Here is a 25,190-nt window from a genome sequence, read left to right as displayed (position 1 = left end):
TCCTTTGATTCCAGGTCTCACATCCAGGTCACGCTGATGCAAGAGTTACGTTCCCATGGTCTTAGGCAGCTCCGCCCCTGTGACTTTGCAGGGTACAGCCTCCCTCCCATTTGCTTTAATGGGCTGGCGTTGAGTGTCTGTGGCTTTTCTGGGTGCACAGTGGAAGCTGTTGGATCTACCATTCTGGGGTCTAGAGGATGGTGGCCCTCTTCTCACAGCTCCACTAGGCAGTGCCCCAGTAGGGACTCTGTGTGGGGTCTGACCCCACATTTCCCTTCCACATTGCCCTAGAAGGAGTTCTCCATGAGGGCCCTGCCCCTGTAGCAAACCTTTGCCTAGGCATCCAGGCATTTCCATGTATCTTCTGAAATCTAGGCGGAAGTTCCCAAACTTCAATTCTTGATTTCTGTGTACCTGCAGGCTCAACACCATGTGGAAGCTGCTAAGGCTTGGGGTGTCCATCCTCTGAAGCCACAGTCTGAGGTGTATGTTGGCCCCTTTCAGCCACAGCTGGAGCAGCTGGGACACAGGACACCAAGTTCCTAGGCTGCACACAGCACAGGGACCCTGGGCCCAGCCCATGAAACCACTTTTTCCTCCTGGGCCTCTGGGCCTATGATGGGAGGGGCTGCCATGAAGACCTCTGACATTCCCTGGAGACATTTTCCCCATGGTCTTGGGGATTCATATTAGGTTCCTTGCTACTTATGCAAATTTCTGCAGCCAGCTTGAATTTATCCCCAGAAAATGGGGTTTTCTTTTCTATCACATAGGCTGCAAATTTTCTGAACTTTTATGCTGTTTCCCTTTTAAAACTGAATGCCTTTAACAGTATCCAAGTCACATCTTGAATGCTTTACTGCTTAGAAATTTCTTCCCCCAGATACCCTAAATCATCTCTCTCAAGTTCAAAGTTCCACAAATCACTAGGGCAGGGGCAATATACCAGCAGTCCCTTTGCTAAAACATAACAAGAGTCACCTTTGCTCCAGTCCCCAACAAGTTCCTCATCTCCACCTGAGACCACCTCAGTCTGGATCTTATTGTCCATATCACTATCAGCATTTTGGGCAAAGCCATTCATCAAGTCTCTAGGAAGTTCCAAACTTTCCCACATTTTCCTGTCTTCTTCTGAGCCCTCCAAACTGTTCCAACCTCTGCCTGTTACCCAGTTCTAAAGTTGCTTCCACATTTTCGGGTATCTTTTCAGCAACACCCCACTCTACTGGTACCAATTTACTGTATTAGTCCGTTTTCATGCTGCTGATAAAGACATACCTGAGACTGGGATGAAAAAGAGGATTAATTAGACTTACAGTGCCACATAGCTGGGGAGGCCTCAGAATCATGGTGGCAGGCAAATGCAGCAAGAGAAAATGAGGGAGAAGTGGCTGGGTGTGGTGGCTCATGCCTGTAATCCCAGCACTTTGGGAGGCTGAGGCGGGCAGATCACGAGGTCAGGAGATCGAGACCATCCTGGCTAACACGGTGAAACCCCGTCTCTACTAAAAAATACAAAAAATTTAGCCAGGCGTGGTGGTGGGTGCCGGTAGCCCCAGCTACTCGGGAGGCTGAGGCAGGAGAATGGCGTGAACCTGGGAGGTGGAGCTTGCAGTGAGCCGAGATCACGCCACTGCACTCCAGCCTGGGCAACAGTGTGAGACTCCATCTCAAAAAAAAAAAAAAAAAAAGAGGGAGAAGCAAAAGTGGAAACCCCTGATAAATCAATCAAATCTCGTGAGACTTATTCACTATAATGAGAATAGCAGGGGAAAGACTGGCCCCATAATTCACTTACCTTCCTTTGGGTCTCCCCACAACATGTAGGAATTCTGGGAGATACAATTCAAGTTGAGATTTGGTTGGGGACACAGCCAAACCATATCACAAGGTATGGTCTTGCTCTCCTACTCTAGTTAGGTGTAGTTTGGGGATTAGGGTAGGTACTCTTAAGAGAGACAGGCTCTGGCCGATGTGCCTGGTTTTGGATTTAATTGGGAAGTCCTGGAGAAGGTCCACAGTGGGAGATGGTGCCTTTGACCAGGAGCTGGTTGCATAAGATGACAGGAAGGCATGTTGCTATCATTCAGGGGTTCTGTAGAAAAACAGTAAGTTATCAAGAGTCTGTGTACAGTAAAAAAAAAAAAAAAAAAAAAAGCACTGAATTAGGAAACTGGACTTGAGCGTACAGTCCTGTTTTGTCATCTGCAATGTGATTGTGAACAAATAGTTTACCTTCTGGGTCTATTTTCCTAATTTGTAAAATAAGCAAAATACCAGCCTTCCCATTGCATGAGATGTGATGATGTATGTCAGTGTGCTATGAAAAATATTTCACGCTGTGCAGATGGATTAGTGAAAAGGCTCAGAGGCTTGGAGCTGGTGGCCTTGCTTCTACTCCCAGCTTCTCTGCTTACTCACCCCTTGCATGACTCAGGGTGAGTCATGTCACCTCCATTATTACAAAGCCTCCATTTTCCCATCTGTAGAACTCCCTCACAGGGTGGTTATAAGGATTTAAAAATACAATAGAGGACTTTTGGAAGTAAAAATGCTAGAGAAATGTGATAGGTTAGTCAGTCTGATTTCCCTATTTTTCATCAAGAGAAAAACCCTTTTTTCCTTCCAGAATCAGTCTTCAAGATGAGCATTGTTTGACCCCATAAATAATGGCCTTTAATGAGCACTTCCTCTGGACAAAGCCTGGCATTGGATGTTGTAGCAGGAGAGGATTAGGGAGAGTGTGGACTAGTGACATTATCCTAGGAGAAGTAGCATCTGCCTTTGGGGAACTCCCAGTCTGACTGGGGGAATAGGACAGACACAAGCCTCTCCTAGGAAGCTTCCATTGTACAAGACTAATCAAAGGAAGACAATAGAAGCACATGCTCATACTGACAAGGGCAGAAAAGAGGTGAGGGAGATTATTGACTGTACTGTAGTCACCAGGATCACCAAGACCAGGTTATTAAGCCTAATTTCTCCGCAAAGCTTCTGAAATCTCATTGAGCGTCTAACATAGGGCATGCTTCTATGACTGGACAAGGTCTGTATCCTATGCATTGTGACTCAGTGCCCAGAGATTCCTTCCCTTTGGAGGACACTAACCTCTTTCCAGATAGTTATATCCTGAATGATCCTGAGAAAGCTTTTTGTGCTGAGGGTGGAGATCACAGGCTCATGGTGAAACTTGCCCAATTGTCCTGTAGAACTTATGTTTTTGGTTTCTTTTCAAGAAACATAGAAATTGACCGTCCCAGTCTTAAAACTTAAGAAAGTTACATTTGTCCTATCTGAGTCCTTTTCTCAGGAAACCAACCATCAGGCCTCCCAGATAGTATCAAGGAGCTGAAACTCACCAGAACACTGCATCTGGACAATGAGTTGCCAGACCTCTCACCCATCATGATTGCCTAACCAACCACCTGCTTTTTGATGGCCAACTCTTCTTCCCTACCCCTCCCTAATTCCTGTTTACCCACATGTAGCTACATTCCTTCCCCACTACATAAACCCCCAATTTTAGTTGGTCAGGGAGATGGATTTGAGACTGCTCTCCTATCTCTTCAGCTGCAATACCCGATTAAAGCCTTCTTTCCTGGCAGTACTTGTCATCTCAGTGATTGGCTTTATGTGCGGCAAGCAGTGGAACCTAGACCAAGCGCCTGGTGCATTGGTAACAATCAGAGCAATGCTGTCACCTGTCTTTCTAGTCTGAATCCATTTCTACACACACTTCTGAGGAGGAAGGTGGTCAGTCTCAGGGAAATCTTTCTGAGGAATATGAATAGTCATTTGTACTGTATTTTGAAAGGACTATTGGAGCCAGATAGTTAACTAGCTGTGAAATACTCTTTTGGTCAGGGAATTTCTCTCAAGCATGTTGGTTTTCTGTAATAAAGAACTCACTCCATGGAATTTCCATCTTCTGTTTTCAGTAATGTCCTGATAATTGCTAAAGAGTTTATATCAGGGTGAAATATGTAAGATCCCAGGTCAGATGGTAAAAACTTGATCTTACTGGAATCACTCATAGCCTTTTATATAAAGACTTGGAAAGAGAATGTCTCACATTTATCCTGATAAAATGTCCTAGCAATAAAAATATTTTAGAATGCCAGTACCCGTAATCCCAGCACTTTGGGAGGCCGAGGCGGGCGGATCACGAGGTCAGGAGATCGAGACCATCCCGGCTAAAACGGTGAAACCCCGTCTCTACTAAAAATACAAAAAATTAGCCGGGCGTAGTGGCGGGCGCCTGTAGTCCCAGCTACTTGGGAGGCTGAGGCAGGAGAATGGCGTGAACCCGGGAGGCGGAGCTTGCAGTGAGCCGAGATCCCGCCACTGCACTCCAGCCTGGGCGACAGAGCGAGACTCCGTCTCAAAAAAAAAAAAAAAAAAAAAAAAAAAAAAGAATGCCAGTACCCTATGGTTTAAATGTAAAAGGCTGCATCCTAGAGATGGGAAGAGAGGCACTGAATACAAGTCCCCATCAACCCTCCCTCTCTAGCCTAGTGCTGCCATCAATTCCTCTTTGAATACATGTTGTAGGAATATCATCAGGGGAGAGTCTGTGGTCAACCTGGCATTCTGGGGAGGTATGAAGACACTATTGAACTAAGGCCTCACTCAGGCAGGGCCTAATAGCATCCTAGAAAGAATCAGAATGGGAAATCCACCTAGAAATAATTATAGATTATATCAAACTGTCACAGAAGAGCCATTTTTCTTTGAAAGGGCATTTCCTCCTGAGGATTTGTTACCAAGAACTATGGAGCTCTAGATTACTGGTTTGCAAACAGCAGGTGTCTGTTTACTGTGGATTCTTTTGAGTTCTTGCTGAATAGTCTTATCACCCAGACTGTATCTTGAAAACACGCAATAAGCCCCTGTATAACTTGCCTCCCTTTTCACCTTGCCTTTCCCTTAGCTGAATACTCAGGATCCCTTAAAAATATTTGTAATTCATCTACATTCAGTTGATTTTAAAAACTAAATTTTTTATTTTGAGATAACTAGATTCATATAGAGTTGTAAGAAACGATGTAAGTGACCCCATGGGCCTTTTACCCAGCTTCTCCTGATGGTAATTGCCTGCAAAACTATAGTACAATATCACAACCTGGATATTGGCATTGATATAGTCAAGGTACAGAATATTTTCATCACCATAAGAATACCTCATGTTGCCTTCTTATGGGCACCCCCCACCCCCTTCCTTCCTGCCCTTACTCCTTCCTTAAGCCCTGGTAAGTTACTAAGTCTCTTTCTATAATTTTGTCATTTCAAGAATATTATATATATGGAGTCATAAGTATGTAATCTTTGAGGTTTTTTTTTCAGTCTCTGGAGATTCATCCAGATTGCTGCATGTATCAATAGTTTTTATATTTTTATTGCTGAGTAGAGCTCTATGATATATATAGAAGCAACACAGTTTAACCATTTATCTGTTGAAGGATATTTGGATTGTTTCCGGTTTTGGCCAATTATGAGTAAAGCTGCTATAAACATTCATGTACAAGTTTTTATGTGAACATAAGTTTTCATTCTTCTGGGATAAATGCCCAGGAGTGTAATTGCTAGGTCATATGGTAGTTGCATATTTAGTTGTTAATAAACTGCCAAACTCTTCTGGAGTGCCCGCACCATTTTACATTCCTACTAAGAATATATGAATGATCTAGTTTATCTGCATTCTCACCAGCAGTTGGTGTTGTCACTTTTTTTTTTTGATTATACTTTAAGTTTTAGGGTACACATGCACAACGTGCAGGTTTGTTACATATGTATACATGTGCCATGTTGGTGTGCTGCACCCATTAACTAATCATTTAACATTAGGTATATCTCCTAATGCTATCCCTCCCCACTCCCCCCACCCCACAACAGGCCCCGGTGTGTGATGTTCCCCTTCCTGTGTCCATGTGTTCTCATTGATCAATTCCCACCTATGAGTGAGAATATGCGGTGTTCTGTTTTTTGTCCTTGCCATAGTTTGTTGAGAATGATGGTTTCCAGTTTCATCCATTTCCCTACAAAGGACATGAACTCATCATTTTTTATGGCTGCATAGTATTCCGTGGTGTATATGTGCCACATTTTCTTAATCCAGTCTATCATTGATGGACATTTGGGTTGGTTCCAAGTCTTTGCTATTGTGAATAGTGCCACAATAAACATATGTGTGCATGTGTCTTTATAGCAGCATGATTTATAATCCTTTGGGTATACACCCAGTAATGGGATGGCTGGGTCAAATGGTATTTCTAGTTCTAGATCCCTGAGGAATCGCCACACTGACTTCCACAATGGTTGAACCAGTTTACAGTCCCACCAACAGTGTAAAAAAGTGTTCCTATTTCTCCACATCCTCTCCAGCACCTGCTGTTTCCTGACTTTTTAATGATCGCCATTCTAACTGGTGTGAGATGGTATCTCATTGTGGTTTTGATTTGCATTTCTCCAATGGCCAGTGATGATGAGCATTTTTTCATGTGTCTTTTGGCTGCATAAATGTCTTCTTTTGAGAAGTGTCTGTTCATATCCTTCATCCACTTTTTGATGGGGTTGTTTGTTTTTTTCTTGTAAATTTATTTGAGTTCATTGTAGATTCTGGATATTAGCCCTTTGTCAGATGAGTAGATTGCAAAAATGTTCTCCCACTCTGTAGGTTGCCTGTTCACTCTGATGATAGTTTCTTTTGCTGTGCAGAAGCTCTTTAGTTTAATTAGATCCCATTTGTCAATTTTGGCTTTTGTTGACATTGCTTTTGGTGTTTAGATGTGAAGTCCTTGCCCATGCCTATGTCCTGAATGGTATTGCCTAGGTTTTCTTCTAGGGTTTTTATGGTTTTAGGTCTAATATTTAAGTCTTTAATCCATCTTGAATTAATGTTCGTATAAGGTGTAAGGAAGGGATCCAGTTTCAGCTTTCTACATATGGCTAGCCAGTTTTCCCAGCACCATTTATTAAATAGGGACTCCTTTCCCCATTTCTTGTTTTTGTCAGGTTTGTCAAAGATCAGATAGTTGTAGATATGTGGCATTATTTCTGAGGGCTCTGTTCTGTTGCATCAGTCTATATCTCTGTTTTGGTACCAGTACCATGCTGTTTTGGTTACTGTAGCCTTGTAGTATAGTTTGAAGTCAGGTAGCGTGATGCCTCCAGCTTTGTTCTTTTGGCTTAGGATTGACTTGGCAATGCCGGCTCTTTTTTGGTTCCATATGAACTTTAAAGTAGTTTTTTCCAATTCTGTGAAGAAAGTCATTGATAGCTTGATGGGGATGGCATTGAATCTATAAATTACCTTGGGCAGTGTGTCCATTTTCATGATATTGATTCTTCCTTCCCATGAGCATGGAATGTTCTTCCAATTGTTTGTATCCTCTTTTATTTCACTGAGCAGTGGTTTGTAGTTCTCCTTGAAGAGGTCCTTCACATCCCTTGTAAGTTGTATTCCTAGGTATTTTATTCTCTTTGAAGCTACTGTGAATGGGAGTTCACTCATGATTTGGCTCTCTGTTTGTCTGTTATTGGTGTATAAGAATGCTTGTGATTTTTGCACATTGATTTTGTATCCTGAGACTTTGCTGAAGTTGCTTATCAGCTTAAGGAGATTTTGGGCTGAGATGATGAGGTTTTCTAGATATACAATCATGTCATCTGCAAACAGGGACAATTTGACTTCCTCTTTTCCTAATTGAATACCCTTTATTTCCTTCTCCTGCCTGATTGCCCTGGCCAGAACTTCCAACACTATGTTGAATAGGAGTGGTGAGAGAGGGCATCCCTGTCTTGCGCCAGTTTTCAAAGGGAATGCTTTCAGTTTTTGTCCATTCAGTATGATATTGGCTATGGGTTTGTCATAGATAGCTCTTATTATTTTGAGATACATCCCATCAATAGCTAATTGATTGAGAGTTTTTAGCAGGAAGGGTTGTTGAATTTTGTTAAAGGCCTTTTCTGCATCTGTTGAGAGAATCATGTGTTTTTTGTCGTTGGTTCTGTTTATTTGCTGGATTATTTTTATTGATTTGCATATGTTGAACCCGCCTTGCATTCCAGGGATGAAGCCCACTTGATCATGGTTTCATGATCATGATCATGGATAAGCTTTTTGATGTGCTGCTGGATTCAGTTTGCCAGTATTTTATTGAGGATTTTTGCATCAATGTTCATCAGGGATATTGGTCTAAAATTCTCTTTTTTTGTTGTGTCTCTGTCCGGCTTTGGTATCAGGATGATCCTGGCCTCATAAAATGAGTTAGGGAGGATTCCCTCTTTTTCTATTGATTGGAATAGTTTCTGAAGGAATGGTACCAGCTCCTCCTTGTACCTCTGGTAGAATTTGGCTGTGAATCCATCTGGTTCTGGACTTTTTTTGGTTGATAAGCTATTAATTATTGCCTCAATTTCAGAGTCTGTTACTGGTCTGTTCAGAGATTCAACTTCTTCCTGGTTTAGTCTTGGGAAGGTGTATGTGTCGAGGAATTTATCCATTTCTTCTAGATTTTCTAGTTTATTTGTGTAGAGGTGTTTATAATATTCTCTGAAAGGTGTTGTCCCTTTTAAAAAAAATTTTAGCCATTTTAATAGGTGTGTAGTAATATCGCAGTGTAGCTTTAATTTGCATTTCCTGAATGGCTAATGAGTTGAACATTTTTTTCATGTGCTTATTGGTTATCTGTATCTCCTTTTGGGTAAATGTCTGTTTATACCTTTTACTCAGCTTTTACATTTTTTATAGTTGAGTTTTGAGGTTATATATTATAGATTATATATTCTAGATACTATTTCTTTATTTGACGTTTGCTTTGCAGATATTCCTTTCAGTCATAGATTTTCATTTCATCCTCAACACAGTCTTTTGTTTTAAATTTTGATGAAGTCCATCTTGTCAGTTTTCCCATTTATGGATTATGCTTTTGGTGTCAAATCTAAGAACAGTTTGCCTAGCCCTAGATTCTGAAGATTTTCTTTTTTTTTCTAAAAAAAACTTTTTTAGTTTTATGTTTTATATTTAAGTCCACAATCCATTTTGAGTTAATTTTTAAATAAGATGCGAGACTTAGGTCCTGGTTCCTTTTCTGGCTTATTGATGTCCACTTGTTCCCATGCCGTTTGTTAAAAAGGCTGTCTTTCCTGCACAAATTGCGTTTGCACCATTGTGAAAAATTAGTTGAGTATATTTGTATGGGTCTATTTCTGGAATCTCTATTCTGTTCTATGAATCTATATTCTTTTTCCAATACCACATAGTCTTCATTACTGTGCTATATATCAAGTCTTGTGATTGGTTAGACTGATTCCTCCTACTTTCTTTTTAAAAACAGCTTTATTGAAGTATAATTGATATATTAACCCAAAACCAAAACTAAAAACCCAGTTATGTTTAATGTATATAATTTGATGAGTTTGAACCACTTTATTTTTGTTATTCAAGATTGTTTTAGCTATTTTTGTTTCTTTGACTTTCATATAAATTTTAAAGTAATCTTGTGCACATCTACAAAAACTCTTGCCAGCATTTTGATAGAAATTGTGCTAAACTTGTATAACGATTTGGAGCGAATGGATATCTTCAGTATGTTTTGTCTTCTAATTTAGGAACATGGTATGTCTCTCCATTTCTTTAATCTCTTTCATCAGCATTTTGTTGTTTTCAGCATTCAAATCCTGCACGTTTTGTTATATTTACATCTAAGTATTTTTGGAATGATTATAAATGGTATTATGTAATTTTGGTGTTCATTTCTATTGTGTAGAAATACAGTAATTTTTATATGTGTATCTTGTATCACATGACCTTGCTGAACTCACTTATTAGTTCTGGAAGTTTTTATGTGAATTCTTTGGGATGTTCTGTGTAGCATTATGTCATTTGCAAATAGGGATATTTTTATTTCATCCTCTCTGATCTGGATGCCATTTATTTCCTTTTTTTGCATTATTGCAACAGCAGTACTGTGTTGATTAAGAATTGTGAGAGCTGATATTTTGCCTTGTTCCTTGTTGTAGGGGGAAAATTTTCATTCTTTCACCATTAAGAGTAATGTTAGCTGTAGGTTTTTTGGTAGATGCTCTTTATTAAGTTTAGGAAGTTCTCCTCTATTTCTATTTTTTTTCTCTGAGAGTTTTATGAATGGGTGTTGGGTGTTGAATTTTATTGAGTGTTTTTGTATATCAATTGATAAGAGTGTTTTTTTCATTAGCCTGTTAATATCATACATTACATGGCTTTTTTTTTCAATATTGAGCCAGCCTTGCACTCTTGAAATGTACCCCAACCTTTTTTTTTTTTTTTTTTTTTTTTAAGTGACAGGATTTTGCTTGGTTACCCAGGCTGGAGTGTGGTGCTGTGATGCTAGCTCACTGCAGCCTCGAACTCCTGGGCTCAAGTGATCCTCCTGCCTCAGCCTCCCAAGCAGCTAGGACTATAGGCATGTACCACCACCCCTGACCTTTTTTTTTTTTTTTTTTTGTAGAGATGGGGTCTCTCTATGTTGCCATGGCTGGTCTTGAATTTCTGGCCTCAAACATCATCTTACCTCAGCCTCTCAAAGCACTGGGAACACAGGCCTGAGCCACCATGCCTGGCCTCATTTTTATATATTGCTAAATTCTGTTTGCTACTATTTGTTAAGGATATTTGCATCTATATTTATGAGAGCTATTAGTCTGTAGTTTTCTTTTTTGTACTGTCTTTGGTTTTGGGAATCAGGGTAACATTAGTTTCACAAAATGAATTGAGAAGTGTTCCCTCTGCTTCTATTTTCTTTTAGAGATTGTGTAGAATTGCTGTTAATTCTTCTTTAAATTTTGACACCATTATTTATTAAAACCATCTGGGCCTGGGGATTTTTTCTGGGAGTTTTAAAATTATGCATTTGATTCCCTCAATAATTTTGTGGCTATTGGTGTGGTAGTTTGTTGTTTTTGAGGTCCATTTCCCCTAACTAGTCATATTTATGTGTGTAGAGTTGTTTGTAACATTACCTTATTTTTATTTTTTTTTATGTCTCCAGGGTTTATAGTGATATTCTCTTTTCCATTCTTAATACTGGTAATTTCTGTCTTCTCTTTTTATTTTCAGTCTTGCTACAGGTTTGTTGATGTTATTTTATGTTACTGATCTTTTCAAAGACCACTGATTTCCTCTTGTTTTCCTGTTTTTAATTTCATCGATTTCTGTTCATTATTATTTCCTTCCTTCTGCTTGCTTTAGTTTTATTTTTGTTCTTTTTTGATAGATTCTTGAGGTGGGAGCTTAGAATATTGATTTAAGACTTTTTGTCTTAGGTAAACATTTAGTGATAAACATTTCCCTTTTTGTAGTACTTTAACAGTATCCCACTTCTATTTTCATTTTCATTGAGTTCAATAAAAGTTTCCCTTGCCACTTTATCTTTGGCCCATGGATTATTTAGAAGTGTGATATTTATAGTTTTCAAGTGTTTGGATATTTTCCCATTATCTTTATTGGTTTCTAGTGTGATTCCATTGTAGCTGAGAATACACTCTGGTGATTTTAATTGTTGTATTTATTAAGGTTTATTTTATGGACTAGCATATGATCTATCCTGAGTATTATTTTGTGTACACTTGTAAAAACTGTGTTTTGCTCCTGTTGGGGAGAGTATTCTATAAATATTGATTAAATCCTATTGTTTGATGCTATTGTTGAGTTCTTCTATATCTTATTGTTTGATGGTATTGTTGAGTTCTTCTATATCTTTGCTAGTTTTCTACCTAGTTGCTCTATCAGTTGTTGAGAGAGGTGTACTGTGGGTCTGTTTCTCCTTTTGATTTTATCAGATTTTTACTTTACATATTTTGCAGTTCTTGTTTGGTACATATACATCAGGATTGTTCTGTCTTCTTGGTGGAGTGATGCTTTTATCATTATGTAATTTGCCTTTCTGTCTCTATTGTTCAGATACTTTCTATTACAGAACAACAATTATAGGACAGTTTCTATTGTTTTATCTTCAAGTTCAAGTTCACTAATTTTTTTCTTCATCTTCTTCATTTTGCTTTTTTTTTTCTTTCCCTGAGACAGGGTTGCCCACTTTGTTGCCTACACTAGAGTGATCATGGCTCACTCCTGCCTCAACCGCCTGGGCTCAACCATTCCTCCCACCTTAGCCTGCTGAGTAGCTGAAACTACAGGCATGTACCACCAGGCACGGCAACTTTTAAATGTTTTCTAGAGATGGGGTCTCACTATGTTGCTCAGGCTGGCCTTGAACTCCTGAGTTCAAGAGATCCTCCTACATTGGCCTCCAAAATGTTAGGATTAGAGACATGAGCCACTGAGCCTGGCCTCATTTTGCTTTTGAGCCTATCCATTGGATTTTTTTTATATTCGTTATTACATTTTCTGGTTCTAAAACTTCCATTTGGTTCCTTATATCTCCTTTGCTGAGACTTTCTATTTGTTTCAAACTTGTCCCTAATTACTTGTTAAAGCACTTTTATGATGGCTGTTCAAAAATCTTTGTCTGATATTTCTGATATATAATTTTGGTGTTGGCATCTATTGATTACCTGTTTTTCATTCCATTTGATGTCTTCCTGGTTCTTGGTATAATGAATGAATTTTTTATTGAAAGTTTGGCATTTGGGTAGTCTCTGGATCTTATTTAAATTTTGAATTTTAGGTTTAATATTTATATGGCAGAAGAAGAGGGAGGCATCCTCTCACTTTTGCCAGGTTGGGGTAAACATACAGATTTCACACTCAGCCTCCATTGACACCTGAGTGGGGTGCTTCTCCTTGTTACTGCCAGGTAGAGATAGGAATTCCAGCTCCTCGCTAAGCTTACATGGATACCTCTCTGGGTTGTGGGGGATGGAGGTGACCTCATGACTGCTGGGCAGTGGTGGAAATCCCAACTCTCCACTAGGCTTCCTCTGACCATCCCATTGAGGAGGGAAAGGGGCACCTCATTACTGTTGGTGGAGGTGGCATTGTGTGGAAGTCCATGCTCCTTACTGGGCCTTTTCTGGCTGGAATATCTCAGTAGGAGAGGAGATGGGAGATTGGGTGCTTCATTACAGCTTCGAGAAAGGGGAAGTCTAGGCTTCCTAGTAGGCCCTGCTGGCGTAGCTGAGGCGGGGTGGGGGCACAAAATTTTTCTGTGCTATATGGTTATAGTAGAGTGGTTATTATCTAACAGCTTTCTGTCTTTTGAGGCTGCCCATTTTCCACTCCTTTTGGCTGGAAAGAATAGGCTTTTGTTGTTGTGGTTGTTTTTTTTTTTTTTTTTTTGTCTATACTCCTTGGAGTTTCCAGGTTGCTGGCTTCTTCAGCTCCAAGTCAGGAACACATGAGGCAAAAAGAAAACCCAGAGAGCTCACCACTGTGTCATTCCTAGCCGTTTTACTTTCTTTTCTCCACCTTTCAGAGTCATCTTATATTTGTTTTAGATATAATGACCAAGGCTTTTAGTTGCACTTAGAGGGAGGAATAGGGAAAAATATGTCTTCTCTGTCTTTCCAGAAATGGAAATCTGATTAGGTTCATTTATTTGCTGTATTCTTGTTGGGGTGATCAGACCCAATACCAGGTCGTGGGAGTAACGAAGTCCAGCAGAGTCAAAGGAATGAGAAAAGACAGTTTGAGAGACAAAGTGAGTCCAGGGGGCCAATGCTAGTTATGGAGGCTGCAAAGGCCCTGAACTCTAGAAGCCCAGACTATTGGTGATCAAACAAAGATACAGGTGGCAAGAATGTGGGGTTGAAAGGGGGCATTGCATTAAGCACATGATTTACAGCTGTGATGGTTTAGCATTTATATGGCCAATTCTAAGACACAATTGATCTAGGAGGCTGGGAGGGCTAGAAGCAAGGAGCTAGCAAGTCTAGACACATGCCAGAGGTCAGGAGAGGTTTTATGCCCTGAGCCATGGATTCTGTCGAAGCCAGGAGGGGTTTTATGCCCCGGGCTTAGATTATGGTGCGTCAGGGTAGCCTTCCACCCTTTAACACAGAGCTTGGTGTTCCAAAGGCCATGAGGGGTTTTAGACCCTGGACCCTGGACATGTTCCAAGACTCTTTCACATTATGCAAGCTCTGCCTCAGCTTCTCTCAACACTCAGCTTTTCCCAACAATTCTTAAAGGCCAAACTTCTTTGTTGCTGAGGTCTCAGAATCCAAGCTTCCTTAATCACACTCATGTAATTTCCTTTTCATGGAGAGAGAAATTAAAATCTCAAGCATAGTAGGTAGGAGTGCATTGGTAAGAGGGGTGGAAAGTGTTCCTCTACCCAAAGATGCACACTGACACTCTGGATTTCTAGCTTTCCTTTGCCCCCTTTTAAGGGCTGGTGTCAACCATAGGGGAAACAGGGGTATTCAGCTAATCTTACCTCTACTAAAGGGTCTTCAACCTCTAGGGGTAACAAGAAGTTCCTATGACACAAGAGGGAGTTTTACCTAGAGATTTATAAGAACCTGCAAGTGGCATAGAGGAGCAGCTGGGAGTCCCTTCCAGCTTGGCTTGGTATGAGAAGGCACAGCTTGTTGCCTTTGACTAATGTGGATGAAACCCATTGGTGATTCTCTCTTGGAGCCAGCCTTCTCTGTACTTCTTCCTGCACTAAGTCTGCTTCCTTAAAAGCCTGAGTTACTCAGGGAAATGTAACCGTGATGTGGAACAGCATGCGTTTTGAATCTAGTTAGATCTGTTTTGTGATCCTGTCACCATCTCTTGCTAGGTAGGACCTTAGAGTTGACTCATTCACTTAAAAACAGTCCTGTAGTGCCTACTTTGGACCAGCCAGCATGCTGGGCTCATGGAATGTAGTCGTTGGTACTCTTCCTTGCTGTTTTTTTTTTCTTTTCTTTCTCACCATCAGCAAGTCCAGCTGGCTATACTGCAGAAATATTAATATGTACAAAATTGGACTGCTTTTCTCTATCATCTCATCTTTTTCTCTGTTTATAACAAGTACCCTGATTCTGTTCTTCCCTCAATCCTTTGTCCCAACTCATTATCTACAAAGCAGCCAGGGTGATCTTTTAGAAACATGCATCAGATTATTATTCTTTTACCTAAAATCCTCTGGTTACACCCAGCCGTACATAGAATAAAATCTAACACCTCCCAATATTCCACTGGGTCCTGTGTGGTCTAGTTTCCGCTTTCCTTTCAGAGCTCATCTAGCATCTTCTCCCTCGCCTCCTCCCACTCACTGTGCTTCAGCCACATTGGACTTCTTTCTTTTCCTGATAATATCAAACTTATTTCACCCTAGGCTTATTATGCCAGTTACGCCCTCTGCCTAGGATAATTTTTCCATACAAACTTAAATGGCTGATTCTTTGTTGTCACTCAGGTTTCAATTCAAACACTTTCCCTCTCTTACTCAAGTCATATTTTATCAAATCACAGTGTTCTGCCTGCCCCAGTGTTATTTAGTGGTTATCACAATTTGAAATGATTTTGATTTGTCTGCTAGACTGAGCTCCATGAGAGCAGGCATTATGCTGTTTCCTTCAATGCTGCATGTCCAGTGCCTAGAACAGTTCCGGGCATAGAGCAATAAATATATTTAAACGTTTTTAATTGATACATAATTATATATGTTTATGGAGTACACATGATATTTTGATACGTGTATGCAGTATGTAATGATGAAATTGGGGTAATTGAGGTCTCCATCACCTCAAACATTTTTCATTTCTTTGTGCTAGAAACATTTAAGATCCTCTCTTCTAGTTATTTTGAAATATATAGTAAATTATTATTCACTCTACTGTGCTATAGAACACTTATTCCTCCTATCAAATACTAATTTTAAAAAACGATTTTTATTGATGCACATTAGATGTGCATGTTTTGGGTGTACATGTGATAGGATGATAAATTTATATAATCAAATCAGGGTAGTTGGGATATCCATCACCTTAAATACTTACCTGTTTTTTTACTCTAGCTGAAATTTTGTATCAATTAACCAACGCTTCCCTATCACATTCTCTTCCTGTACCATTCTCAGCCTCTGGTAACCACTATTCTACTCTCTACTTCTAGGAGGTCAGCTTTTTTAGCTCTCATATATGAGCGGAACATGTGGTATTTGTCCTTCTGTGCCTGGCTTATTTCATTTAACATAATATCCTCCAGAGTTATCCATGGAGCTGCAAATGACAGGATTTCATTCTTTTTTTATGGCCAAATAATATTCTATTGGGTACATATATCCATTAATATTTTGTTTTTCCATTCATCTGTCAATGGACACTTAGGTTGATTCTATATCTTGGCTACTGTGAATAATGCTGCAATAAACATGGGAGTGCCAATAGCTCTTTCCTTTCCTTTGGATATATACCCACCAATGGGATTGCTGAATCATATCGTAGTTCTATTTTTATTCAAGGAAACTCAATATGTTTTGCATAACTGCTATATTAATTTACATCCCCAACAAAAGTATGTAATAATTCCCCTTCATCTGGATCCTCACCAGCATTTTTAATTTATTTATTTATTTATTTATTTATTTATTTATTTATTTATTTATTTTTTCTGAGACAGAGTCTAGCTCTGTCGCCCAGGCTGGAGTGCAGTGGCATGATCTTGGCTCACTACAACCTCTGCCTCCCGGGTTCAAGTGTTTCTCCTGCCTCAGCCTCCTGAGTAGCTAGGATTACAGGTATCCACCACCATGCCTGGCTAATTTTGTATTTTTAGTAGAGATGGGGTTTTACCATGTTGGCCAGGCTGGTCTCAAACTCCTGACCTCAGGTGATCCACCCTCCTCGGCCTCCCAAAGTACTGGTATTACAGGTGTGAGCCACCATGCCTGGCCATCAGCACTTTTTTTTGTCTTTTTGATAATAGCCATTTAACTGGGATGAGATTACATTTCATTGCATTTTGATTTGCATTTTCCTGATGATTAGTAATGATGAGCATTTTTTCATATCCCTGTTAGCCATTTATTTGTATGTATTCCTTTGATAAATAGCTATTCAGATTACTTCCTCATTTTTAAATCACATTATTCAATTTTTGCTGTTGAGTTGAATTCCTTGTATATTCTAGATATTAATCCCTTGTCAGATGAATAGTTTGCAGGTATTTTCTCCCATTCTGTAGGTTGTCTCTTCATTCTGTTGATTGTTTACTTTGCTGTGCAGAAGCTTTTCAGCTTGATATAATCCTATTTGGCTATTTTTGCCTTGGTTGCCTGTACTTTTGAGGTTTACCTTAAAAATCTTTGCCCAGTCCAACATCCTGGAGAGTTTCCCCGAAGTTTTATTTTATCGATTCTATAGTTTGAAGTCTTGGATTTAAATTTTTAATCCATTTGATTTGATTTTTGAATATGAGAAGAGATAGGGGTCTAATTTCATTCTTCTGCATATGGATATCCAGTTTTCCCAGCACCATTTGTTGAAGAGACTGTCCTATTCTCAATGTATATTCTTGGCGCCTTTGTTGAAAATGAGTTCATTGTAGATACATGGATTTATTTCTGGGTTCTCTGTTCTGTTCCATTGGTCTATGTGTCTGTTTTTATGCAACTACCCTGTTGTTTTGGTTACTATAACTCTGTAGTATAATTTGAAGTCAGGTAATGTGATTCCTCTAGTTTTGTTCTTTTTGCTCAGGATAGTTTTTGCTATTCTGGGTCTTCTGTGATTCCATATAAATTTTAGGATTAATTTTTTCTATTTCTGTGAAGATTGTCATTGGTATTTTAATAGGGATTGCATTGAATCTGTAGATTGCTTTGGGTAATTGCACATTGTAATAATATTAATTCTCCTAATCCATGAATACTTTTCCATTTTTTGTGTCCTCTTCAATTTCTTATCTCAGTGTTTTATAGCTTTATTTGTAGAGATTTTTCTTCTCTTTGGTTAGATTTATTCCTAGACATTTAATTTTTTTTGTAGCTATTGATAATGGAATTGTTCCTTTGATTTCATTTTCAGATTGTTTGCTATTGGTGTATGGAAATGCTACTGACTTTTGTATGTTGAGTTTTGTATCCTGCAACGTTAGTGAATTTGTTTATCAGTTCTAACAGGTTGTGTGTGTGTGTGTGTGTGTGTGTAGTCTATGTTTCTCTAAATATATGATTATATCTGCAAACAGGGACAGTTTGACTTCCTCCTTTTCCATTTGGATGTCCTTTATTTCTTTCTCTTGCCTAATTGTTCTGTCTGGGACTTTCAGTGCTATGTTGAATAACAGTGGTGAAAATGGGCATTCTTGTCTAGTTCCAGATCTTAAAGGGAAGGCTGTCAACATTTTCCTATTCAGTATGATGTGAGCTGTGGGTTTATCAAGTAAGGTCTTTTTTATTTTTAATTTTTTTTTATTTCCATAGGTTATTGAGGAACAGGTGGGTGTTTGGTTATATGAATAAGTTCTTTAGTGGTGATTTGTGAGATTTTGGTACACTCATCACCCAAGCAGTATACACTGAACCCAATTTTGTAGTCTTTTATCCCCTACCCCCTTCCCACCCTTTCCTCCTGAGTCCTCAAAGTCTGTTGTGTCATTCTTATGCCTTTGCATCCCCATAGCTTAGCCCCCACTCATGAGTGAGGACATACAATGTTTGGTTTTCCATTTCTGAGTTACTTCACTTAGAATCATAGTCTCCAATCTCATGCAGGTTGCTGCAAATGTAAGGCATTTGAGTACCTTTCTTCTATACCTCATTTGTTGAGTTTTTTTTATCATGAAAGGATATCGAATTTTATCAAATGCTTTTTCTGCATCTATTGAGATAATCATTTTTTTTTCCCTACTGCTGATGTGATGCATCATGTTTGTTAATTTGCAAGTGTTGAGTCATTCTTGCATCTCTGGATAAATTCCAGTTGATTATAGAGTATACCTTTTTTTTGATGTTCTGTTGGATTCAGTTTGCTAGTGTTTTGTTGAGGATTTTGTATGTAGGTTCATCAGGAATATTGGCTTGTAGTTTTCTTTTTTGTTTTGCCTTTGTCTGGTTTTGGTATCAGGGTAATGCTGGACTCATAGATTGAGTTTGGAAGAATGCCCTCCCCTTCAATTTTTAAAAATAGTTTGAGAATAACTGGTACTAGTTCTTCTTTAAAACTTTGGTAAAATTCAGCTTTGAAGCCATCTGGTCCTGGGCTTTTCTTTGTTGGGAGATTTTTTTTTTTATTACTGATTCAATTAATCTTATTTCTTGTTATTGGTCTGTTAGAGTTTTCTATTTCTTCCTGTTTCAATCTTGGTAGGTTGTATGTGTCCAGGAATTTATCCATTTCCTCTAGGTTTTCCAATTTGTTGGCATATGATTATTCATAATAGCTTCTAATGATCCTTTGTATTTGTGTGGTATTTCTTGTAATATTTCCTTTTTCATCTTGAATTTTATTGGGAATTTCTTTTTCTTAGTTATAGGTTTGGGTTTTTTTAAAATTATGTTTTTAAAAACCCAGCTTGTCATTTCATTGCTCTTTTGTATTTTTTGTCTTAATTTTATTTATTTTGACTCTTATTTTATTATTTCTTTCCTTCTTCTAATTTTGGATTTGGTTTGTTCTTGCTTTTCTCGTTCCTTGAAGTGCATTGTTAGGTTGTTTATTTAAAATCTTTTTACTTCTTTGATGTAGGCATTTATTGCTGTAATTTTCCCTCTTAGTATTTCTTGTGCTGTATCCCATAGGTTTTTGTTATGTTATGTTTTCATTTTCATTTGTTTCAAGACATTTTAAAATTTCCTTCTTAATTTCTCTATTGACCCACTGGTCATTCACAAGCACATTTAATTTCCAAGTATTCATAAAGTTTCCCAAGTTCCACATGTTTTGATTTCTAGTGTACTTCCACTGTGGTCAGGAAAGATTCTTGATATGAATTTGATTTTTAAAAATTTGTTAACACTTGTTTTGTCATCTCACATATAGTCTATCCTGGAGAATGTTCCATGTGCTGATGAGAAGAATGTGTATTCTGCAGCTGTTGGATGAAATCAGAGCAATTAATATTTATTGAATAAAAAGTTGCTTAATCTTTTTGAGCCCCAGTTTCTAACTTATGGAATAATAATTGGCTAATAGAACAAAGGTGTATTTAGAATTGAGCCAATAATAATTGGCTAATAGAACAAAGGTGTATTTAGAATTACACAAAGGTGTAATAGAATAAATGTGTGTAAAGTGCTTAGTACAACACTTGGCTCACAGCCAAATAGTAATTTGTAATTGTTTCTTTATGATTATTTCTATTATAATGTTCACTTTCATTCTCCCATACTTCTTTCATACCTGTTATTGTACCTGACGATTTATCCAGAGTATTGTGACCATTTGTCAATCACTGATGCTGACTGGTTAGATACTTGCAATTAAATCCTAACTTAGTTCTCTCTTGGTCATGTTTTTCTGTACAGGTCCTACAGCTGGGCTCAGACATCCTTCCCCAGTACAAGCAAGAGGCACCAAAGACTCCCCCTCACATCATCTTACATTATTGTGTTTTTAAGACCACGTGGGATTGGATCATCTTGATCTTGACCTTCTATACAGCCATCTTGGTCCCTTATAATGTCTCCTTCAAAACCAGGCAGAATAATGTGGCCTGGCTGGTTGTTGATAGCATCGTGGATGTTATCTTTTTGGTGGACATTGTGCTCAATTTTCATACCACCTTTGTTGGACCAGCAGGGGAGGTGATTTCTGACCCCAAACTTATCCGCATGAACTACCTGAAGACGTGGTTTGTGATTGACCTTCTGTCCTGTTTGCCATATGATGTCATCAACGCTTTTGAGAACGTGGATGAGGTTAGTGCCTTTATGGGTGATCCAGGGAAGATTGGTTTTGCTGATCAGATTCCACCACCACTGGAGGGGAGAGAGAGTCAGGTACATCCCTCAAATCTCAGACCTTGTTGTCATGTCTTTAAAACTGAGTTAAATGTGGGTGGTCAACAGAAGAATAATTAAATGGGTGGGAAATAGCATGACTGATGTCCAGAACAGAGGGAGCATGCTTGATAGATACCCTTGCCTGCTGTTCCCATCCTTTGGCGGTTTGGAGGCCCTGCATGACAGTGAATGGGTGTGGAAGAGACCAAAGGCTTACTCCTACTCCACGTGGAATGTAAGCCACTGGTTCAGGAATGGTGGGCCTGCAGCAGCAGGCATGCATGGCCACTGCACTGGCAAGTCTTCTATTGAGTATATAGTTGCTGAATGTCTACCTATTGATTATTCTAGTTATGCAGACTTTTCTTTTATCTGCTGCTGACTTTTGGCTGTTTCATAGCCAATTAACTCCTGGTAACAGGAATACCATTTTCCTGAAAGTTTGCTTTTACTTTTTTCTGTTAAATTTTGAGATGAGTTATTTCTTTGCTAAAATGAGTTTGGAGGCAACCATTTACTGAGGTAGTCAGGCATCAGCTTGTGGTTTTTGGATTATACTGCTGTTTTAGTCCATTTTGTGTTGCTATAGAGAAATACCTGAGGCAGGGTAACTTACAAAGAAAAGTCAAAATTCTGATGGCTGGAAGATTTAGGACCAGGTCACTCATGGTGGAAGGTGAAGGGGGGAGCCAGCTTGTCCAGAGATCAGATGGTGAGAGAGGAAGTGAGAGACAGGAAGAGGAGGTGCCAGGCTTTTTGTAACAACTTGCTTTCGTGGGAACTAATGGAGTGAGAATCCACTCACCACCCCACTTCCCCCAGAGAGGACATTAATATACTTAAGAGGGATCCACCCCCCATGACCCAAACACCTCCCATTAGGCCCTATTTCCAACACTGGGACTCAAATTTCAACATGAGGTTTGGAGGAGACAAACATTCAAACTATAGCAACTCTTTTCAATTGTTAGTCCTGCAGGCAATGGATGAAATTAAAGGAAGCTAAATTCTGTGTAGATGTGTTGGAATTAGGAAATACTCTAAGTCATTTTCTGAATGAGCGCCTGGGACATGTGGTAGCAGGAAGGGCCACTGGACTGATTAAGGTGATTTTCTTTGAAACAGTGAGGATGTCAAGTCATTGCAAAGAAAAATGTCAGATTCTTATCTAGTTTGTGTTCTATGGGAATTGTCCTTCCGTTTTCTTACTCCTAGTGGACATTCCAGATGGATTAAGATAAGGCAGTTCATTTGGCAAGTCTCCAGCCTTGTTCAGCTGGGCCCTCATTGCTTCAGATTACAGAGGCTCCCAAGGTCTCAGTCTAGCTGGGTTGTGTGGGTAATCTAGGAAGCCAAGTTGAGGCTCAAGACACATTTCAGAACTAAACGGCTCATAGGACTCAGGCTTGAGAACGTTGAAAGGAACAGCTTGCTCCCTGCCGGGATATCAAGACCTGGCCAGTGACTCCATGTTTTACTAGTGGCATAATGATGCCTTTCTGCCTTCAGATCAGTACCAGCGGTTGGTGGGACAGCAGCCTTTTCTCTGGGAAAACAGAACTATTACCACTTCTCTTTCCAGTGAAGGGTAGCTCTTCCTACAAAATGCTGCCAATGTAGAGCTGGAAGGAGAGAATTTGGATGCTCAGATGCTCTAGATTCAGAACAACCCATGCTTGTATCTGTGTGGTGGGTTTTAAAATACTTTAAAATCCCAAAGACTAATTCTCTGGGGTAGCTTGTGTGAATTTTGTAGGGGGATGAAATGAGTCAAGACTGATCATTTACAAGAGCAGAATCATACCTAATATGAACGTTGGGGTTCTTAAATGAGAATTTTTTTTTTTAATTTTAAAATTTTTTTTTTTTTTGAGACAGAGTCTTGCTCTGTCACCCAGGCTGGAATGTCGTGGTGTGATCTCAGCTCACCACAACCTCTGCCTCCCAGGTTCAGGCAATTCTCCTGCCTCAGCCTCCCAAGTAGCTGGGATTATAGGCACGTGTCACTGTGCCTGGCTAATTTTTGTATTTTTAGTAGAGACGGGGTTTCACCATGTTGGCCAGTCTGGTCTTGAACTCCTGACCTCAAGTGATCTGCCTGCCTCGGCCTCCTAAAGAGCTGGGATTACAGGTGTGAGCCACCACTCCTGGCCCACAAATGAGAATTTTAGTACATGTTGGGAATCATACTTTTCTCTGTGAGCACATTTTTAGAAATTTTTTTCTTAGGAAAATATCATTTTGGCTTAGGTAATTCAAATAAATTATCTGAATCTAAAAGAGCTTCTTAAACACATATGGAAAGTGAAATTTAGCTTAAGAAGCACACTGGTTTTTAAAATAAACGATTTTCTATTTAGAGTAATGGACTGAAATTTTGCAGATAAATAGAACAGTTCTCCAGCTTCCACAGATTCTTATTAAAAATTGGCAGAACTATAAACACATATGTAAAATGTGTCAGTTACCTGGTAGGTTAACAGAGCAGAGTTCTTCTCCCCTAGGAAAGAGTTCCAAACCAACTGTATATGTTGGGTTGGAACTCTTTCCAAACCAACTGTACATGTTGGGTTGGAACTCCTTCCAAACAAACTGTATATGTTGGGTTGGAACTCCTTCCAAACCAACTGTATATGTCGGGTTGGAACTCCTTTGCCATTATTTATAAATACTCCTGATGGTGGTTTCTGATTTATAGATTCATGAAATAGATTGGTTAATAAGAAAAATGTTAGTTATCTGTAGCTTTCTCATTGGTAAAGGGCTTAGAATCAAAGCTCTTACTATCACCTGTTGGTCATAAATAATAGTACAAATATTAAGGGCTACAGCTATTGTTTCCTTCTGTAAGACATAATTTTATATTTGGTAATTTCTTTTAAAGCTTTGGCTAACACCTCAAATAATGCCCTTTCATAACAACTCTGGTGGTTGGAGGGAGATCAGTGTGAGGAATGGGAAGATTTGGCTTTTAGTTCTCTTGGTATCACCTGTTAAAACAGCTGGGATCCTTGTGCATATCATTTAGCCTTTCTGGATCATGGTTTTCCTATCTACATCTTGGGGATAATACTACTATACCTGCCTGAAGGCATAGCATTTGGGTGGTGGATTATTTGAGTTTCCTGCCAGCTCCAAGAGCTAAAGTCTGGTGAATGCTAAATCTCATCTGCATTAGTCTTACCTCCAGAAGCTTATTGTAAGAACAAGAGTCCTAGCACCGTGACCTCTTTCTTGTAATTGGGGTGGGAGGAAAACAAGGTGGGGGGTGGGAACACTTAGCAGGTAATACATAGACCCACTTGAGGTCACAGCCTGACAGGACCATGGAGGTCTTATAGTTCAACCTTCTTAATACACAAGTAAGAAAAAAGACAGGGGAAATGACTCACTCAAGATGGAATAACATATCATATAATCACAGTAATAATGGGTTCCCTTCTGACTCTTCTCTATTCCTAATAGCAACAGATTTTTATAAAATAGGAGCAAAACACTTAATGAAGGACAGTTGAGTCAAAACTGACCAGGAAGTTTCTGATGTGTGTGGCTCACTCCTTGGCTTGGCTGAATGTGGTAGAGAAGTTGGACACGGGGTCTGGTGGAGGTAGATGGAGGTGGGCAGCTACATTTTCCCCAAGGCATCTGTGTTGGGGATGACATGGGCAGTTAAAGATGCTTGCCAAGGGACAGACCCAGCAGTTTCCCAGGCATAGTCCTTTAGTGAAATGACACCATTAAATTAATGGGAATGAATGGTTGATGTTTGTTACAGGATGTTGGAGAGCCCATGAAGGGCACCCCATCTTTTGAACCCAGATCAGGCTGAGGGAAAACCCCCTGGGTTGGAGAATTCTGATTGATGGCTTAGTGGCTTCCTATTCACCATATGCTGTCTTCTCACCTGTGATCTGTTGTGGAGTTACGAATCTAAGATTACAGCTCCCTGTGCTCTAGGTTCTTTCTCTGGGGGAGTGTGCAGAGAAACAAATTATTGACTCATTTCTCATAAAAAAATACATGTGGAGCTAGCTGAATCATCTTTGGTGTTCTCAAAATTATGCCAGTGGACTTGTGTGCCAGTGGAGACCACCAAAGAAGGACGTGAGCTGTGTTGGCTTTGCCATCTGTGTGTATGTGTGCAGTGGGGGTGGGGAGTTCTTGAAGTGAAAAGATTGGAGCCACCCAAAGTCTGGGTCAAAAAAGAACTGGGGTAAATTGTTAAAGCCTGCAATTATGAATTCAGCCCTGTGGATATAGCCCATCTCCATGATTTAAGCTGCACAAGTGATCCCTTTGGCTAAACTTGTTTCACTTATG

The 25,190-nt window shown here is 39.4% G+C and overlaps 1 protein-coding gene across 4 annotated transcripts in view; it reads left to right on the top strand.

Moving 5' to 3' along the window:
• Window positions 1–25,190, top strand: part of KCNH1 (potassium voltage-gated channel subfamily H member 1) — a 455,835-nt gene that overhangs the window by 94,499 nt on the left and 336,146 nt on the right. For 2 of the 4 annotated variants that reach the window (XM_047419823.1, NM_002238.4), the window contains exon 6: window positions 20,394–20,786. In XM_047419823.1, the coding sequence (XP_047275779.1) occupies window positions 20,394–20,786 (393 nt within the window). Of the gene's footprint in view, window positions 1–20,393; window positions 20,868–25,190 lie in introns of those variants that run through there. The other 2 variants (NM_172362.3, XM_047419829.1) reach the window with 2 other exon arrangements.

Source organism: Homo sapiens, chromosome 1 (genome assembly GCF_000001405.40).
Source record: "Homo sapiens chromosome 1, GRCh38.p14 Primary Assembly".
NCBI lineage: Eukaryota > Metazoa > Chordata > Mammalia > Primates > Hominidae > Homo > Homo sapiens.
This window is presented reverse-complemented; position numbering and strand designations above follow the sequence as displayed.